Source organism: Homo sapiens, chromosome 1 (assembly GCF_000001405.40).
Source record: "Homo sapiens chromosome 1, GRCh38.p14 Primary Assembly".
NCBI lineage: Eukaryota > Metazoa > Chordata > Mammalia > Primates > Hominidae > Homo > Homo sapiens.
The window spans coordinates 27,030,015-27,048,454 of NC_000001.11; the positions used below are offsets into that span (position 1 = coordinate 27,030,015).

At 52.1% G+C, this 18,440-nt stretch overlaps 1 long non-coding RNA gene across 6 annotated transcripts in view, besides 4 other annotated features; it reads left to right on the forward strand.

The window, feature by feature from the left end:
• Positions 1 to 1,743: 1,743 nt before the first annotated feature.
• Positions 1,744 to 18,440, forward strand: part of LOC101928391 (uncharacterized) — a 33,828-nt gene continuing 17,131 nt past the window's right edge. For 3 of the 6 annotated variants that reach the window (XR_007065559.1, XR_947110.4, XR_947115.2), the window contains exons 1-5: positions 1,744 to 1,815; positions 3,446 to 3,579; positions 7,874 to 8,022; positions 14,880 to 15,005; positions 15,204 to 15,301. This is a non-coding gene — a long non-coding RNA (uncharacterized LOC101928391). Of the gene's footprint in view, positions 1,816 to 3,445; positions 3,580 to 7,873; positions 8,023 to 14,703; positions 14,788 to 14,879; positions 15,006 to 15,203; positions 15,302 to 18,440 lie in introns of those variants that run through there. The other 3 variants (XR_947112.4, XR_947111.4, XR_947114.4) reach the window with 3 other exon arrangements.
• Positions 4,892 to 5,393: an enhancer, noted in NCBI's record as "H3K27ac hESC enhancer chr1:27361397-27361898 (GRCh37/hg19 assembly coordinates)". NCBI's record gives its function as "activates a minimal SCP1, AML or CMV promoter by ChIP-STARR-seq in naive H9 embryonic stem cells {active_cell/tissue: H9 hESC(naive)}" and the evidence as "EXISTENCE:reporter gene assay evidence [ECO:0000049][PMID:30033119]".
• Positions 7,949 to 8,449: an enhancer, noted in NCBI's record as "H3K4me1 hESC enhancer chr1:27364454-27364954 (GRCh37/hg19 assembly coordinates)". NCBI's record gives its function as "activates a minimal SCP1, AML or CMV promoter by ChIP-STARR-seq in naive H9 embryonic stem cells {active_cell/tissue: H9 hESC(naive)}" and the evidence as "EXISTENCE:reporter gene assay evidence [ECO:0000049][PMID:30033119]".
• Positions 12,260 to 12,812: an enhancer, noted in NCBI's record as "H3K27ac-H3K4me1 hESC enhancer chr1:27368765-27369317 (GRCh37/hg19 assembly coordinates)". NCBI's record gives its function as "activates a minimal SCP1, AML or CMV promoter by ChIP-STARR-seq in naive and primed H9 embryonic stem cells {active_cell/tissue: H9 hESC(naive and primed)}" and the evidence as "EXISTENCE:reporter gene assay evidence [ECO:0000049][PMID:30033119]".
• Positions 16,290 to 16,790: an enhancer, noted in NCBI's record as "H3K4me1 hESC enhancer chr1:27372795-27373295 (GRCh37/hg19 assembly coordinates)". NCBI's record gives its function as "activates a minimal SCP1, AML or CMV promoter by ChIP-STARR-seq in naive H9 embryonic stem cells {active_cell/tissue: H9 hESC(naive)}" and the evidence as "EXISTENCE:reporter gene assay evidence [ECO:0000049][PMID:30033119]".

Consider the following 18,440-nt stretch of genomic DNA (forward strand, 5'->3'; position numbering starts at 1 on the left):
ACTCTTATTCACTCTTATTGTCCAGGCTGGTGTGCAATGGCGTGATCTTGGCTCACTGCAACCCCTTCCTCCCGGGTTCAAGTGATTCTCCTGCCTCAGCCTCCCAAGTAGCTAGGATTACAGGCATGTGACACCACGCCTGGCTAATTTTTTTCTTTTGTTTTGTTTTGTTTTTTTTTAAGATGGAGTCTCACTCTGTCGCCCAGGCTGGAGTGCAGTGGCGTGATCTCGGCTCACTGCAAGCTCCGCCTCCTGGGTTCACGCCATTCTCCTGCCTCAGCCTCTCGAGTAGCTAGGACTACAGACGCCCACCACCATGCCCGGCTAATTTTTTTTGTATTTTTAGTAGAGGAGACGGGTTTCACTATGTTAGCCAGGATGGTCTTGATCTCCTGATCTTGTGATCCGTCCGCCTCGGCCTCCCAAAGTGCTGGGATTACAGGCGTGAGCCACCGCGCCTGGCCGACGCCTGGCTAATTTTTGTATTTTTAGTAGAGACGGGGTTTCACCATGTTGGCTACGCTGGTCTTAAACTCCTGACCTCAGGTGCGCCTCGGCCTCCCAAAGTGCTAGGATTACAGGCGTGAGCCACTGCGCCCAGCCTATTTATTTATTTATTTTGAGACAGAGCCTCGCTCTGTTGCCCAGTCTAGAGTGTAGTGGCTCAATCAAGGGTTACTGCAACCTCTGCCTCCTGGGCTGAATCTATTCTCCCACCTCAGCCTCACCAGTAGCTGAGACTACAGGTGCACGCCACCACACCTGGCTAATTTTTTTTTTTTTTTTTTTTTTTTTGTAGAGACTGGGTCTCACAGTGTTGCCCAGGCTGGTCTTGAATTCCTGGGCTCAAGTGATCCGCCCTCCTCGGCCTCCCAAAGTGCTGGGATTACAAGCATGAGCCACCGTGCCTGGCCTTGGCCTTGTCTGTCTTTTTTTTTTTTTTTTTTTTTTTTTTTGAGACGGAGTCTTGCTCTGTCACCAGGCTGGAGTGCAGTGGCGCGATCTCGGCTCACTGCAACCTCTGCCTCCTGGGTTCAAGCGATCCTCCCTGCCTCAGCCTCCCGAGTAGCTAGGACTACAGGCGCACGCCACCAAGCCCAGCTATTTTTTTTTTTTTTTTTTTTTTTTTGGTATTTTTAGTAGAGACGGGGTTTCACCACGTTGGCCAGGGTGGTCTCCATCTCTTGGCCTCGTGATCAGCCGGCCTCGGCCTCCCGAAGTGCTGGGATTACAGTCGTGAGCCACCGCGTCTTTTTAAACCTGTAAATACTCAGGCCTACTCTTGTAGAAAAAAGGCTTCTCAAATTTGAAAGTGCCCGGGAGCCACCTGGGGCACATTCCTTGGAATGTGCAGGTTCTGAGTCAGCAAGTCTGGGGCTAGACCTGAGAGCCTGCATTTCTAACCTGCTCCCAGGTGGTGCCCAGTTGTTGCTCCTCAAGCTGGGAAAAGATGACCTTGGCTGCAGATCTGAGGGGCTGCGAAGCCCAGGGCGTCCAGTTCCCGAGGTGCCCTTCCGCCCAGAGCCGCCCTCTCCCCAGACCCCAGTGAGGGTCAGCCCTCTCCCAGGCCTGCCCTGATCGCTGCCCAGGGAAGCGCCCGCCCTGCCGCAGCCGCCCAGTCTGATTCCTGGCATCCACGTGGCAGGGCGCCCGCTGCAGCGACAGCAGTTCCCACGGGAGGAGTCGCACCGGGAATGGGCCGCGGGGGAGGGAGAGAGTGGGAGGGAGTGAGGCCCCGGGAATTGTCCTCTGAAGGGGCGGCGCATGGGCGTCCCCCGCCCTGCTAGCCCCATCTCCTTCCCTGTCCCTGCTTGGGTGAGTAAATCCCTAGTGCTTTGATTCGCTTGCCCCTCCTTCCGTCTCTCCCCACTTCCTCCTCGCTCGCTCGTTCCCTCTGCCTTCAATCTGAGCTGGGCCCTTGCAGTGAGGAGCCCACGGTTACCTGGCTGTTCCCTGCCCGCCACCTCCCTCCAGGTGGGAGGCTTATGGAGGGCTATTGCTGATCTGGGCAGGGCAGGGGCCGTGGTTCCTGGGGAGGACGGAGGAGGTCTCCCACCGTGAGAACGAGGCCAGGCTAATCTGCTCGCCCGGCGCCGCTGGAAGGCAAAACATGAGCCCCTAACAACAACAACAACTGTCCTTCCCTCCCAGGAGGACTGCACTCTGCAGTTTACAGGACACTTCTCTTGCCACTGTCATGTTTTATCCTCATAAACTCGGTGTTCTTGCCATTTGACAGATGGCAAAACTGAGGCCCAGAGAGGCCAAGTCACTAGGACAAGGTGCTAGAGCTCAGAGGACATTCCAGGACCTGAACCTGATATGCCATACATGTTTTAGGAGAAGCTTTCTGGGTCTTCTGGGCCTGGATTATCCAGGAATACCATTCCAACCCTTGAACGTGGGGCTCTAAATTTCCATCAGGATCCTTTTTTTTTTTTTGAGACAGTCTCCCTTTGTTGCCCAGGCTGGAGTTCAGTGGCGCGATCTCGGCTCACGGCAACCTCCGCCTCCCAGGTTCTAAGAGATTCTCCTGACTCAGCCTCTGGAGTAGCTGGGATAACAGGTGTGCACCACCTCGCCCGGCTGCTTTTGTATTTTTTTTTTTTTTTTTTTTTGAGAGAAGTCTCGCTGTTATCCCGCAGGTTTGAGTGCAATGGCTCTATCTCAGCTAACTGCAACCTCCGCCTCCTGGGTTCTAACGATTCTCCTGCCTCTGCCTCCCAAGTAGCTGGGATTAAGTCGCCTGCCACCACGCCCGGCTAATTTTTGTATATTTTAGTAGAGACGGGGTTTCACCATGTTGGCCAGGCTGGTCTTGAACTCCTGACCTCAGGTGATCCGCCCGCCTCGGCCTCCCAAAGTGCTGGGATTACAGGTGTGAGCCACTGCGCCTGGCCTGCTTTTGTGTTTTTAATAGAGACAGGGTTTCGCCATGTTAGCCAGGCTGGTCTCAAACAACTGACCTCAAGTGATCCACCCGCCTCGGCCTCCCAAAGTGCTGGGATTACAGGCATGAGCCACCCCGCCTGGCCACCATCAGGATCCTTAACTTCGAATACCAGAGCTGGAAGTCTAAACCATTATACAGAGGGGGAAGCTCAGGCCCACCGAGGGGAAGGGTCTTGCCCAAGCTCAGAAGCCAGATAAGGTTCTGACCCCCACTCCTTAGGGTCTCAGATGAAGTTTCTGAGCCTTTCACAGCTCCCTGTCTTTCCTGCTTGAGCAACTGGGGCCTGTGTTTGGGTACCGTGGGAGGGAGGGGTTAGGGCAAGAATACTCCAAATCAAAGCACCCGCCCAGCAGGGAAGGGGAGAAGTTTTAGTGCCTCTGAAAATACACTTTGCCTTTATGCTTTATTTCCTAAGACAGATATGTGTCACTAACGCAAGGAGATGATAGTGGGTTTTAACTTGCTTTTGTTTTTCACTATTTTGCTTCCCAGGCAGGAGGCCCAAGCCCTGACAACAGAGGTGAGAGAGGCTGTGCCAGCCCTTCTCTGGGCATGTCTGGGCTCAAGGGCCAGGCTCTGTCTCCAGTCTAGGGCCAAGCTGGGGCCTGTGGCAGGATCAGATAGAGGTGAGTGCGTTTTCTGTGAGTGACCCCATCGAGGCCTAGCCCAGAACAGGTGGGGCTCTTTCTGGGCCTGGGTGGAGATCTTTGTCACTGGGCACAGGCTCAGTTTATGACCAAGGTCAGGGCCCATCCTGGGATCAGGGAACAGGGAGAAGCAGCTCTTAGCTTCTCCCAGGACAGAACCAGCCCAGGATTCTTGTTCTAGTAGGGTGAGTTAGGCAGGCGTCTTGGAGCCCACAGGTCTTAGGCTCTTGGGCTAGAGCAGAGGCTCTGAGTGAAGGTGATGTCCCCGAGCTGAGGCCCAGGGTCTCTGACTCACCACTGGGTGGGTTTTCAGGGCAGATGAACTCCCCATCTCGACCCACATTCCCCACCTTACAGCTCAGCCACCAGGACTCTGTGAACATGACTGGCCATCTCCTTCCACTGTTCCTACTTAAGGTCCTGGTGCTTACACAAGAAAGTGGTACCACAACCAGCTCTTTCTAGTGGCAGCTGGACTTGTGGGGGCGGGGAGGGCACAGCTTCTCTAACTGTCCTCAGGGCTCTGTCCAGAGGTATGGATTCTGGTAAACTGGCTAGCTGGAAAGAATAACCAAAAGCCCTCCACCATGGTCAATTTCAGGCTACCCACATGACGCCACTACACGTGAAGTTGTGAAGAGATGTGCAGAATTGGCTCCAGCACCCCCCGTACCTGTTCCAGGACAGTCCCGTTGCCTTCCACGGGGCCCAGAAAGGGGCTGGGGTCCTGCTGGCTTGCCAAGTTAGGGTACCCTTGAGGACTTCCTGTCCTGCCCTTGTGCCTGTTGGTGTGACTGTGATTATGATTGTGGCTATAGTTGACATTGTGATTGTGATGGTTGAAGCTTCAGTTACTGGTGTGTTTTCAGTGACGGGGAGAAGAGGCCAGTGAAGTAAATGCCTCTGTCACTCAAGGGACACGGCCAGGTGCCCAGGGGTATGAGGGCCAATTAGGGCCCAGGGTCCTCAGGGCTGTGTTGTGGCTCTATGCAGGAAACTGGAAACCTGATGTGACCTAATGAACACATCTCCTGCCACTCTCCCCTTCCTCCACTGTGCAGTGATGACCTGGCCTCATGCTGCATTGAGGAGACAGGAGCCCAGCTGTGGGACGCGCTCACCTTTCCATGGTGTAATCTGTATTCCTACCTGCACCGTGCCCTTCTTCTTCTCCTTCCTGACTCACATCTGAGGTTGGGTCCCTCCTCTTATCAAAGGACAGTCTTTTTTTTTTTTTTTTTTTTTTTGAGACGGAGTCTTGCTCTCTAGCTCAGACCGGAGTGCAGTGACGCGATCTCAGCTCACTGCAACTTCTGCCTCCCAAGTTCGAGCAATTCTCCTGCCTCAGCCTTCTGAGTAGCTGGGATTACAGGTGTGCACCACCACGCCCAGCTAATCTTTTTGTATTTTTAGTAAAGATGGGGTTTCACCATGTTGGCCAGGCTAGTCTCGAACTCCTGACCTCAAGTGATCCTCCCGCCTCTGCCTCCCAAAGTGCTGGGATTACAGGCGTGAGCTACCACGCCAGGCCTAAAGGACAGTCCTTAGTGACTTCCCATTGGCTGGAATAAAATGCTGATTCTTTACGGGATGACTTTAGCCTCATCTCCCCCTTCCACCCCCGGCTCCTTGTGTTTCAGCTTCGATTGGCCCCTTTTCTGTTCTACAAGCACAACAAGCTTGTTCCTACCTCAGGGACTTGGAGCCCACAGTTGCCTCCCAGTCTCTGCGTGTCTGGTTACTCATCGTCCCAGTCTTGGCCCAAAGAGCCCTTCCCTGACCTTTCCCTCTAAAGGGGGCTCCCCAGTTACTCTCCATGTTTTCACCTTTGTTGTGGTCAGCCCAGCACTGATGGGTCACCTTGTTTACTGCAGTGTGACTTGTTTCAGGGTCTTCCCCACTAGAGTGTAAGCTCCATGAGGGCAGCGTGCTCATTGTCTGTGGTACCTGGAATCTGGCTGGTACCAGATAAATGCACATGGAATATATAGTACATGTCTGTGTTTATTTCCCCTTTGTTGTCCCTGGGCCATTGCTAACATCTTGTTTGCAGGTCCAAGCCTGGTTTCTTCTCTCCACCGGGCTCTAAAGGGAATGGGCCAAGCTTCCCCCCAACATTTGGGCCAGAGTATGAAAGAGGGGCTAGTGCTCTGCAGGTGCCCCTGTGGTGGGGGGCAGCAGAGGTTGCTGGGTGAGCTCAAGGGGCTTTGAGCCTCCTGGGGTTGAGAGGTCCGGGCGCCTCCAACTTTGATTTGCTTTTGGTACAGAGGGCAGCATTTCCTCCAGCTTCTATGTGTATCCCGGCCCCCGGGCTTCCTCTCTGAGCAGGACTTTCATTGTTTTCTGTCTGCCTTGTGCCCATTTCCTCCTTCCTCCCTCACTCCTGAGGACGAACTCCTCCTCTTATCAAAGGACAGCCCTTCCTGTCTTCCCATTACATTCAAAGCCCCTTTCTCTTTGGGGAGGAGCCCCCACTACATGAGTCTTGATGGACATCTGGGCCCTATTGCCCACTATAGAAGCTGGAGGGGACCACAGACCCCTCTTCCTACTCCCTGGCAGAGAGGACATGGGCACATAACCTGGGGCGGCCAAGGGGCGTAGCCCAGGGCTTGGAGTGAGTGATGCCAAGACAGGAGGGTAAGAATTCACTTAGAAAGGAGGCTTTTGCCAGCCCAGCCAATATGGTGAAACCCTGTCTCTACTGAAAATACAAAAAAAAAAAAAAAAAATTAGCCGGGCGTGGTGGCGCATGCCTGTAATCCCAGCTACTTGGGAGGCTGAGGCAGGAGAATTGCTTGAACCCGGGAGGCTGAGGTTGCAGTGAGCTGAGATCGCGCCACTGCACTCCAGCCTGGGTGACAGAGGGAGACTCTGTCTCAAAAAAAAAAAAAAAAGGAAAGAAAAGTGGTCTTTGGTAGCAGTTGCCAATGTGGTGTCTGATGGTGACAGTGATATCCAGATGTCTTGCAGCAGGCTTGGCCTGTCCAATGCTGTCACTTCCTTCGTTCCTGCTTTTATCTGAGCTTGGGAGGTAGTTTGAGAAGTCGCTGGTGCAGTTATGGAGGGGTGGGGAAAGCAAGATCCCTTTGGAGAGGAGCTAACAGGGTTTCCTGCCCCAGAGCTCTGCCACCACTCAGATGCCCAGAACCTGCCCCCCAAATTCCACTCTCTGAGAGTTCAGGGTTGAGCCCCCTCCCTCCTCCACCATATCTCCTGAGGCCCCTCCCACCAGGTATCCCAGCTGAAGAGGTTCTTCCCTGGGAACTGCTGCCTCAGCCCAGATTCAAGTCAGACAACAGGAAGGACTTCCTGACTGGGGGGGATGGGAGGCCCTGGACAAGGTCAGTGGGGGCATTTCTATCCCAAGACAAGGGACTGACTTCTGGAGGCCCTTTTCCAAATGACAGACAAAAAGAGCAGAGTCTTCTTCAGCCTGGCCAGGGCGGGCAGGGAAGGTTTTTAGAACAGGGTGAAGCACTTAGGGCCAAAGAGCACCAAGATTAAGAGCTCAGACTCCCTTGTTACATCCCAGCTCTGTCACTAACTAGTTGTGTCATCTTGGGTAAGCTACTTAACTCTGCTTCAGTTTTTTTAATCTGTAAAATGGGAGCAATAGTAGTACCTATCTCAGGAGGTTTAAATCAGTGAGTTGAAATTTGTAAAGTGTCAGAGCAATGCCTGGCACAAAGTGACTATTATATAAATTATTTATTTATTTATTTATTTATTTATTTTTTTGAGATGGAGTCTCTCTCTGTCTCCCAGGCTGGAGTGCAATGGTGTGATCTTGGCTCACTACAACCTCTGCGTCCCAGGTTCAAGCAATTCTCCTGCCTCAGCCTCCCGAGTAGCTGGGATTACAGGCGTGCATCACCATGCCTGGCTAATTTTGTATTTTTAGTAGAGACGGGGTTTCTCCATGTTGGTCAGGGTGGTCTCCAACTCCCAACTGCAGGTGATCTGCCTGCCTCGGCCTCCCAGAGCGCTGGGATTACAGGCGTGAGCCACGGTGCCCAGCCATAAATGTTTAATAAAATAAAGATATTAGCAGCTTCCATGTGGGAGCCACCTGGGCGCTGGGCACTGTGCCAGATTCTTTATTTGCATTACCTCGAATCCCCACATTACTCGATCAGATAATTCTTCTTGCTCCTATCCTGCAGATGAGGAAACTGAGGCCCAGAGAGGGGAAGTCAGTTGTGTAAGTTGACCTAGACAGATTCTTCGAGTTCCCTACATTATCACACTCTTGCTTTTCTCCACCACAAAGGCAAAACATTGATGAGGCAGGGGGACGGACAAAATGGGCCTTCCAGAGGTGCTCTCAGACCCTCCCAGCCACACTACAGCCGCAGAGCCCTCCGCTCACAAACCATCCTGGCCTCATCAGAACCTGGGGAGGGTTCCTAGTTGTGCAGGGTAAGTAGTATGCTCAGAGCTGCAAACATCTCATTAAGCAATTACCACAGGGAGCACCAAGGCAAGGAAGTGATCTCACTGCCATCTCGACACCACCCTGCCGCCAGGGTGGGAGTAATGGGGGTAATCATGGCAGCGGTGGCAGTGACATTGATGGTGATGCTGAGTGACGAAAAGGTGATGGCTCTATTAGATCTCGATGTTGGCGGAGGAAGTGAGGGGGCTGGTAATGACTTGAGGGTAGTTCAAGTGATTGCTAATGGTGGTGGCAGATCATAGTCTTGGTGGAGAGGTGACAGTGGTAGTGGTGATTTGTGGGGCAGACGCTGTGGCTTGGCTCTCTCAAGTCCATTTTACCCTCCTAGCTGGGGCAGCTGGACAGCAAAGCACTGCCTGTCCCTTCCCTGCTGTGCCTGCGTGGGGGACAGGCTCCACCAAGAGACTCACTGCAGCAGGGTTTGGAAGGCAGAAGTGAGGCTCAATCCTCTCTGTGCTTCAGTTTCCTCATTTACAAAATAGGAATAGGCCAGGCGCGGTGGCTCTCGCCTGTAATCCCAGCACTTTGGGAGGCCGAGGCGGGTGGATCACCTGAGGTCAGGAGTTCGAAACTAGTCTGAGCAACATGGTGAAACCCCATCTCTACTAAAAATACAAAACTTAGCTGGGCGTTGTGGTGGGCACCTGTAATCCCAGCTACTTGGGAGGCTGAGGCAGGAGAATTGCTTGAACCCAGGAGGCGGAGATTGCTGTGAGCTGATACCACACCACTGTACTCCAGCCTGGGTGACAAGAGTGAAACTGTGTCTCAAAAAAATAAAAATAAAAATAAATAAATAAATAAAAATAAAATAGAAATAATAATAGAACAGTGCCTGGCACATAATAGGCACTATGTAAGTGTTGGTTGTTGTTGCTAAATTGTCATTTTATTAATTTTAAGTTATTTTGTGCCCCCTTTTGGCTGTTTCTGCCAGCCTGCAAGGTTGCAGGAACACGAGGTTTTTCTGCACTGGTGATCTGGTGTCAGGCTCCAGCCTCGAGCTTGCTCAGAGGTAGTCGCAGGGATGAAAGCAGGGGTAGCAGCTTCTTAAATCCAGCTTTCTGATCCCTGCATTGAAGCTTCAGTGGTAAGTTGTTGAATTCATAGCTCTGGCGTTGACTTTCTCAGTGGGTCGAGTATGGAAAGGTCTGGAATCATTCCTGGAGGCCTGGCTCATTGAGCCTCTCTGATGGTTGTGCAAGGACCTACTGCTCTGTATTAAATACTTTGCTGCTAAAAACACCAAGAGGGGTTTCTGTTTCCTGCATTGACCCTGCCCTCACCAGACCCTGCCGCATTCTCTGCATCCCCTCTTCTGGGTCCTCATCTCTGCTGCTCCTTCCTTGGCGTCATCATTGCCACCTCCATGCGTTCTGGAACTCTACCTTCCAGGCTCCCCCTCCCTGAGTCCTCTCCTCTCGGTCTCTTCCTCTTCCTCCTTCACGGTGGGGCTTCTCGGGGGGCTGGCCACCGCAGCCTCACATGTCCCAAACTCATTGCATGGTCTTCTCTCCCCAGTTTGGCCTGTTTTAGCCTGGGGCCCAAACCACAAAGAAAGCTGGGAGCCTCCTTAGAACTTGAGCCTCTTTCCTCCCTCCACTCTGTCTGGGCCTTCTAACATTCAGTGAGCGCCTACTGTGTACTGGGCCGAGCAGCACCCAGAGTTGAGGCTGACCCAGTGTGGGCTCCTGGATGTATGTAAACACCTGTGAAGTTCCGCAAATGGGAGGGATGGGGGAGAGCTCTGTAATAAGTCTAGATTTTTAACAGTCAACAGGGAGGTTCAAAGATGCGGCCGCCTTGCCTCAGTTTGGGTCGCCTCTAAAGGGCCCTTTCAGCCCCAGAATTCCCTGTGGAATAGGCTGAGGCCTTGGCTGTAGCTTCTGCTTCTCACTCCCTTTTGGGGTGGTCCCTGAGAGCAGCCCCCCGTAAGCTGCTGAGTGAGGATCTCCTCTGAGTCTGTTTCAGGGTCCCAGAGCCCAGAGCCCAGAGCCCAGAGTGACTGCTCCTGAGACAACCAACCAGCCATAGTGGAGGCTCTGGCTTGGCTTCAGCCCCCCGAGGGTCAGACTTTACTGCCTCCTCCTTCTTTCTCCATTTCGGGAGCCACCGCCTGAGGCCAAGGTTGTGGCCTGTCTAAATCTCCACAGCTTCTTAAGTGGTTTCCCCCCCCCCGGCTCTCTTGCCTCTTCTGACCCCTTCTCCACAGGGCAGCCAGAAGGATCCAAGCAGATCCAGCCAATCTCCAGCTTAAGCCCTTCAAGGCTACCCATTGCTTTGACGATAAATTGAGCTCCTGACCCCGGGGGTTACCTCCCAGCTCTGCACACCTCCTCTCAGCTGCTGCAGCTGCCTCAAGGCTGCCTCCCTGTTCCCCATGCCTCCCTCTGTAGCAGGGCTCTTTTCCATTTCCCTCAGCTCCTTTCCAGCCTTCAAATTTCAGTCAAATGTCCCATCCTCAGGGACAAGGGCATGTCTGCTCCCCAGGGGCAGCCTGTTACTGGTTAATGGGAGGCTCAAAGGCCTGGCCACCTTGCCTCAGTTTGGGTCCACTCTGAAGGGCCTTCCCAGTTTCTCAGGGAAACCACTTCTTTTTTTTTTTTTTTTTTCGAGGTGGAGTCTCCCTCTGTCGCCCAGGCTGGAGTGCAGTGGCGCGATCTCGGCTCACTGCAACCTCTGCCTCCCGGGTTCACGCCATTCTCCTGTCTTAGCCTCCTGAGTAGCTGGGACTATAGGCACCTGCCACCACGCCTGGCTAATTTTTTGTATTTTTAGTAGAGATGGGGTTTCACCATGTTAGCCAGGATATTCTCGATCTCCTGACCTTGTGATCTGCCCACTTCGGCCTCCCAAAGTGCTGGGATTACAGGTGTGAGCCACTGCGCCCGGCAATCCAATTTCTAACTACATATTTATTCGTGTGATTAACTACTGGATGTCTGTAAGTCGTCCAGGTGCAAGGACAGTACCTACCTCGTTCACCAGGATATACTGGAAGCCCGGCACCATGCCTGGCTTACATAAGAGGCACTCTGTAAAAGCTGAATGAGTGAATGGAGGGATGAATGAATGAAAGCACTCTGTAAACTCTAAAGCAGGAGTGATGGGAAAGGATGGACGATAGTAATTGTAAAATAACTACTGTCTAGCAGGCAGAGGCAGCAACACAGCAGGAGTCTCCCCAGCCTGTGGCTGGGCAGGCTGTACCCTGAGTGGCCTCTTCCCCACCGCACCTCACCCTACACTCCAGGGTCACAAGCTTGGTAAGTCTGAAAATAACAGCAGCTATTTCACCCATACTGCCTCATTGAACCTGCACGAGAGGATCTTGGGGTGATGCTATCATTATTCCCACTGTAAAGATTTGGAAACTGGGGCTCAGGGAGCTTCAGTAATTTACCCAAGATAAATGAATGGTGGGGCTGGGATTCAAACATAGGTCTATCGAAGGTCATAGCCCACCCAAGCGTTCATGTTGACACTCTCCTGCCCCTCTGGTCACCTTTAAACCTTTCAATCTCTTCATCCCCATCTTTTTTTTTTTTTTTTTTTTTGAGATGGAGTCTTGCTCTGTCACACAGGCTGGAGTGCAGTGGTGTGACCTCAGTTCACTGCAACCTCCGCCTCTTGGGTTCAAACAATTCTTTTGCCTCAGCCTCCAGAGTAGATGGGACTACAGTTGCCCACCACCACACCTGGCTAATTTGTGTATTTTTAGTAGAGATGGGGTTTCACCATGTTGGCCAGGCTGGTCTCGAACTCTTGATCTCAAGTGATCGCCCGCCTCAGCCTCCTAAAGTGCTGGGATTACAGGCATGAGCCACCATGCCAGGCCACCCGTCCCCATCTTGTCTTCTCTGGAGTCCCTGTGCTCTCCCCAGCAGCTTTGAGCAGGCACCTCTCAGAGCCTCATTTTACCTGTCTGTAAAATGGACACACACATCTCTGACTGTTTTGTAATGAAGGTCCACGAGGATGGGAATGTTTTTTGTAAAACATGTAAACATGTTCTGTGTAAAAGGGCTGAGTGAGGTGGAGCCCAGGTAGTGAAGACGCTGCAGTGACCTGCCCAAGGTCACCCTGTGGTGGCAGGGGAACAGGTCTCTGCCCTCTGGCTGGGCACCATGGGCAAGTGAGTGTGAGGGTGGGTGGCTGTGTGAGTGTGACTGTGCGTGTAGACTACCCCAGGACCAACCTCTTGAAGGTCAAGAAAAGCCCCTGTTGCAGGCCGGGCATGGGTGGCTCACGCCTGTAATCCCAACACTTTGGGAGGCCGAGGCGGGTGGATCATCTGAGGTCAGGAGTTTGAGACCAGCCTGGCCAACAGGGTGAAATCCCGTCTCTACTAAAAACACAAATATTGGCCCGGCGTGGTGGTGGGCACCTGTAATCCCAGCTACTCAGAAGCAGAGGCAGGAGAATTTCTTGAACCTTGGGAGGCAGAGGTTGCAGTGAGCCAAGTTTGCGCCGTTGCACCCGAGCCTGGGTGACAAGAGAGAAACTCCGATTCAAAAAAAAAAAAAAAAAAAAGGAAAAGCCCCTGCTGCTTCCAATTTTAAGGCTTCCAGTGTTATTAAATTAAAAAATAAAAAGGCTGCGGAAAACATCATGCATTTTAAAGGTTTATGTTTAACAAACGAACTTTTTAAAAACACACACACAATGCAATGCCATGTAATTGTGCTATTATTCACAAGATAATTAGAGGATTTATAGAAAATATGAATTCATAGTGCACAGTGGGAGGTGTGGCTGGGTAATGAGATGCAAGCGCACAGTGGCCTGGCGAGCAGCTCCTGCGTTCCTCCCATTGTGTCCCTTTGTTACTACATGTTACATCCTCATTTGGGCATACCAGTGGGCAAGAGACCTTCCTCCACCTGGCCTCTGCCTCGTGTTATCTCCCCACACTCGGCACCCTCTCTGGCTTTTTTTTTTTTGAGACAGTGTCTTTTTTTGAGACACAGGGCAGGGACAAGTCTTTGGTTAATCTTCCATTAATTAATCTATGTATCAGTTACTCACAGATGTTTATTGAGCTCCTATTTTGTATTCTGGAATCCATGTTTTGCTCTGGGGACATGGCAGTGAAGAAAACAGACAAGGTCCCTGCTCTCGGGAAGCCCACAGTCTTGGGTGGGAGACAGACACTTAAGTAAATCAGGCCATATAAACAGTGATAGGGGCTGTGAAGGGCATTAACAGGAACTGAGATGGAATTACAGGAGACTGGCCGGATGCAGTGGCTCACGCTTGTGAGCTGGGATTACAGGGGTCTGCCACCATGCCTGGCTAATTTTTTGTATTTTTACGTTATTTATTTATTTATTTATTTTTGAGACAGAGTCTTGCTTTGTTGCCCAGGCTAGAGTACAGTAGCGCTATCTCAGCTCACTGCAACCTCTGCCTCTCAGGTTCAGTTCAAGTGATTCTCCTGTCTCAGCTTCCCGAGCAGCTGGGATTGCAGGCGCCCGCCACCACGCTCGGCTAATTTTTGTATTTTTAGTAGAGACAGGGTTTCATTGTGTTGGCCAGGCTGGTCTCGAACTCCGACCTCAAGTGATCCACCCACCTTGGTCTCCCAAAGTGCTGGGATTACAGGTGTGAGCCACTGTGCCCAGTCCCAAACCATATTTGAATTAGAGCTGAAGGGCTCCAGGCCCAAATGACTGTTGAGGGGCAGGACCAGCTGCGTCACTGTCACTCTCCTTTCCAGAGAAAAGCTATTCTGGTCCAATTCCTAGCTGCGTGCCTTTGGGAAAACTCTTTCATCTCTCTGTGCCTCAGTTTCTTCATCTGTAAAATTTTTTTTTTTTTTGAGACAGCATCTTGCTCTTGTTGCCAAGGCTGGAGTGCAATGGCGCAATCTTAGCTCACTGCCATCTCCGCCTCCCAAGTTCAAGTGATTCTCCTGCCTCAGCCTCCTGAGTAGCTGGATTACAGGTACCCGCCACCATGACCGGCTAATTTTTTGTATTTTCAGTAGAGACGGGGTTTCACCATGTTGACCAGGCTGGTCTTGAATTGCTGACTACAGGTGATCCTCCTGCCTCAGCCTCCCAAAGTTCTGGGATTACAGGCGTGAGCCACCACATCTGGATTTTTTTTTTGAGACGTAGTCTCGCTCTGTCGCCCATGCTGGAGAGCACTGGCATAATCTTGGCCCACCGCAACCTCCGCCGCCTGGTTCAAGCGATTCTCCTGCCTCAGCCTCCAGAGTAGCCGGGATTACAGGCATCCACCACCACGTTCGGCTAATTTTTGTATTTTTAGTAGAGACGGGATTTCACCATGTTGGCCAGGCTGGTCTCGAACTACTGACCTCAGGTGATCCGCCTGCCTGGGTCTCCCAAAGTGCTGGGATTACAGGTGTGAGCCACTGCGCCCAGCTGTAAAATGATAATAAGCATACCTTAAATATAACTTCCTTTTAAGGCTATTCAAGAAATAAATGTGCTAAGGGCCTGTAAAGGGCTGAGCACAGAGGCTGGCATAGTCAGTGCTCAATAAATGGAAAGGAGAAGATGGAGATGAGGAGGATGGAGGTCCAGAAAGTTGGAGAAGTGTTGGCCTGGTTTCCTCTATCCTGGGACGTCAGGGCTCCCCTCAGCCTTGGCAGTTCCAGGAATGGCCACGAGATGGCGCCTGAATCCCAGTTATGAGGGACTCAGCGGCGCTTCTTAGCAGAGGAAGCTGTTTGCGGGGAAAAAGGGCCAGAGAAGCAGGTAGGCTCCTCAAGCTTGGATGGAGTGGGGCTTGGCACTAGATTTGCTTAAAGTCCAGCCACTTCAGCCTCTCCCTTCGGTTTGTCTCCTAGGGGTTCCCTGTACGTACCCCTTTCCCTCCAGCACTGGAGCCCGAGTCTCCCGCTGAGCAGGCACCTCTCCCTCCACGCCCAGGCTTCTTAAACCAACCCCTCCTCCCCTTGTCATTCATGAACCAGGTAGGAGGACTTAACGGAACACTTCCTGTGGGCCTTGCAGGGTGGGGAGCCAGAGGAAATGACCTGGTTCCTGTTCTTAGCATCCTGGGGGTGGGATAGGAGGTAGGAATAGAAACCAAAAGAGATAAATGGAAAACAGGCAGGATTGGCTTAAGACTTCTCCATCTGTAGGCCGAACCCGTTATCCTCATTTTGCAGATGCAGAAACTGAGGCTCAGAAGCGTTCGGCCACGTGCATGCATTGCCTTTCCCATTGGTGCTCCATCGCCAGTAATGGATAAGTAATAAGTAATAAGGTGAGTTATATCTAAATATATCCATAGACTCATTCAACAGCATCTACAAGAGCGCCGCAGTTCCAGCAAGGATCAGACTTGGCCCCTGCCCTTGGGAGCTGGCAGTCTGGAGGGTGAGGCTGGGTCTGGGGACCCAGAGGATGCAGTTGTTGGTCTCACCTGAACCGGTTGTGGGAGGGAAGGGAGGAAATGTGTGAGAGACTTTGTAGATTTCTTATGCGCAAAGGACCTGCTCCAGGATAACTTTCAAAGAGGCAATATCATGACTCCCATACAAATTAAAATGAACATGTGTCAAAGATTTTCTTTGACTTATTAATTGACATGGAATCAGCAAGATGTTAAAATAAGTTCAACTGAGAATTTGACTTACGGGTATTTATATTCTCTACTGGACAAAATTCCTTTGCACGGTTATGAGCAGGAATCATTTGCTTTGTGATCTGTTTTCCTCAGATTGCCTCTATCCCTACAGAGCTATAAAGCCAATCAAAGACAATCAAAAGCACACAAGCACACACCCCTAAAGAATCAGATCATCACTAGAGGGTCACAGCCAACACCCGGCACTCCTCTGAAAGGAACACACCCAGAAATCTCTTGCCTTTTCCCAGGCTTTGATATATTTTCTTGGCCGACTCCTGGAAGGATCAGGATGAATCAGGTAGCAGCCATTGCTGAGCAGGCAGGCCATCTTAGAGCTTGGTCCTCCTCTTTGCAAAATCTTCCCCATTCAGGCGGTAACTTCTAGCTGCAGCCAGGGTCAGTAACCGCCAGCAGGTGGCGCTGAGGCAAAAATCTCAGCCGCACGTGGGGAATTCTTTGACCCTTGCGGCCCCGCAGGAGTCAGGTTTCCTGACTTCAGGATTTCACGGGACCCTTTCTCCCCACCCCCTCCCCACCTTCTTCTTCTCCTCCTTCTCCTTATCCTTCTTCTCCTCCTCCTTCCTTCTTTTTTTTTTTGGTTGTTGTTGTTTAGTTTTTTGAGACGTGGTCTCGCTATGTTGCCCAAGCTGGTCTTGAACCCCTGGGCTCAAGTGATTCACCCGCCTCGGCCTCCCAAAGTGCAGGGATCACAGGCGTGAGTCACCGCGCCGGGCCATTCCCCCTCTTTTGGGTCAAGTTTTCTCATGATCACAGGGCTGCTTCCAAGTGAGCTCATCTCCAGCCATAAATTCAGCCATTCACTGATTCAATCAATCTTTGATTTGACAAAGTGTCCAGGCCCCAAGTCGTATTCCTGAGGCTCTCCAGGAATTCTTTGTGTCCAAGAAGCAGCCCTTGTCTCTGCTTGTCCGGCTTTGCTGCTCCCAGAAGGAGCAAGGCCTCACTCACCTTTGAGGATGAATTCTGCCATCTCAGGGCCCCATCCCATGCTGCCCCCCCCCCCACCCCTGCCCTGCCTTTGGGTGTATCCACACCCCCCTGGAAACCTGGAAAAGGCACCTCAGCAGAGGATGAATAAAAAGCTTTACTTCTTTCTCTCCTTTCAAGCTCTCATTCCTCCCCCCCCTTTTTTTTCTTGAGACAAAATCTTATTCCGTCACCCAGGCTGGAGTGCAGGGGTGCGATCTCGGCTCACTGCAACCTCTGCCTCCTGGATGCAAGTGATTCTCATGCCTCAGCCTCCCGAGTAGCTGGAATTACAGGTGCACACCACCACGCCCAGCTAATTTTTGTATTTTTAGTAGAGACGGAGTTTCACCATGCTGGCCAGGCTGGTCTCGAACTCCTGACCTCAGGTGATACGCCTGCCTCAGCCTCCCAATGTGCTGGGATTACAGGTGTGAGCCACCGCTTCCGGCTTCATTCCCATTTTACAGGTGAGAAAGTGGCTACTGCTCCTCTGGGTCTGTCCTGGTCGTCGGGGAAGGCTGTATCTCTTTGCTATACTCGGCTTTACTCAGGCCAGAGGATGGCTGAAGAGCTGTCCCCAGGCCTCACTGTTTCCCTGGCCTTCCCATAAACTCACATTCATGGAGGACTGCAGCATAAGAAGCACCTCCTATGCGCTTCCCAAGGGCCTGGAAAGTTCTCCAGAATGTAGTGGGAATAACTACAAGCACAGTCCCATCCCAACTCAGCAGGCAAGGAGTGCTGGGGTGACCACAGCTCCCTCCTCAGCTGAGACCCTGCCCTGGGGTAGGGGCAGCAGGCCAAGGGGAAGGAGGTGGGCAGGCAGGGTGTGCAGGCCATCATGGTAGTGAGGTCTGCACCGGGGCCAGGGCACACATCTGTCCCACTGGGTGCTGGCTGGGCAGTGTTTCCCTGGCTCCTTGGCTCTTCCCTGTATGCTGGGTGCACAATTGTGGGGCATCAGGGAGAAAACCTTCCTCTTCTAGGTTAGGGTCTCTGCCCTCTGCCCCGTGACTGTGACAGCAGCAGGAAAGAAGTCACCACAGTGCTCCTGCGTCTCAGGGATTCCCTAAAAGGAGAATCAGAGAAAAGAGTAGGAGTCCTTGGGAAGCAGATCCTGAGCAGAAAGGTCCCTGGTCTCTGGCCACCTGAGGCCTATAGGCAGTGAGATCTGCTGGGAATGAAGTGGATGGTGGGGTAAATTTGAAGGCAGGTAGGGGAGAAGCAGCACCAGACCCCCAGGGCCCGGACAGGCCAGCGGGCTTCCTGCAGTTTGCACGACCTTGCATCTCCCTTCCTTTCCTGGGAAGCATGTGGTCTGATAGCTTCCAGGATGACAGCTTGTGCTGGGGCCTGGACTTCTCTGCTCTGACAGATTCAGACATCTGTCTTAGTTTGTTTTCTGTTGCTTACAACAGAATACTGAAACTGGGTAATTTCTAAAGGAAATGAATGTATTTTTAAAGTTCTGGAGGCTGGGAAGTCCAAGGTCGAGGGGCCACATCTGGTGGGAGTCTTCTTGCTGGTGGGAGCTCTCTGCAGACTCCTGTGGGAGGGCATGACGTCGCATGGTGAGGGGGCTGAGTGGTGTCCCTCAGTGTCCCTTCCTCTTCTTATAAAGTCCTCAGTCCCACTCCTATAATCACCAATTAACTCATTAATCCATTAACCCACGAGATTAATCCATTCATGAGGGCAGAGCCTTCATGATCCAATCACCTCTTAGAGGTCCTACCTCTCAATATGGCCACACTGGGGATTACATTTCGGCATAGGCTGGGTG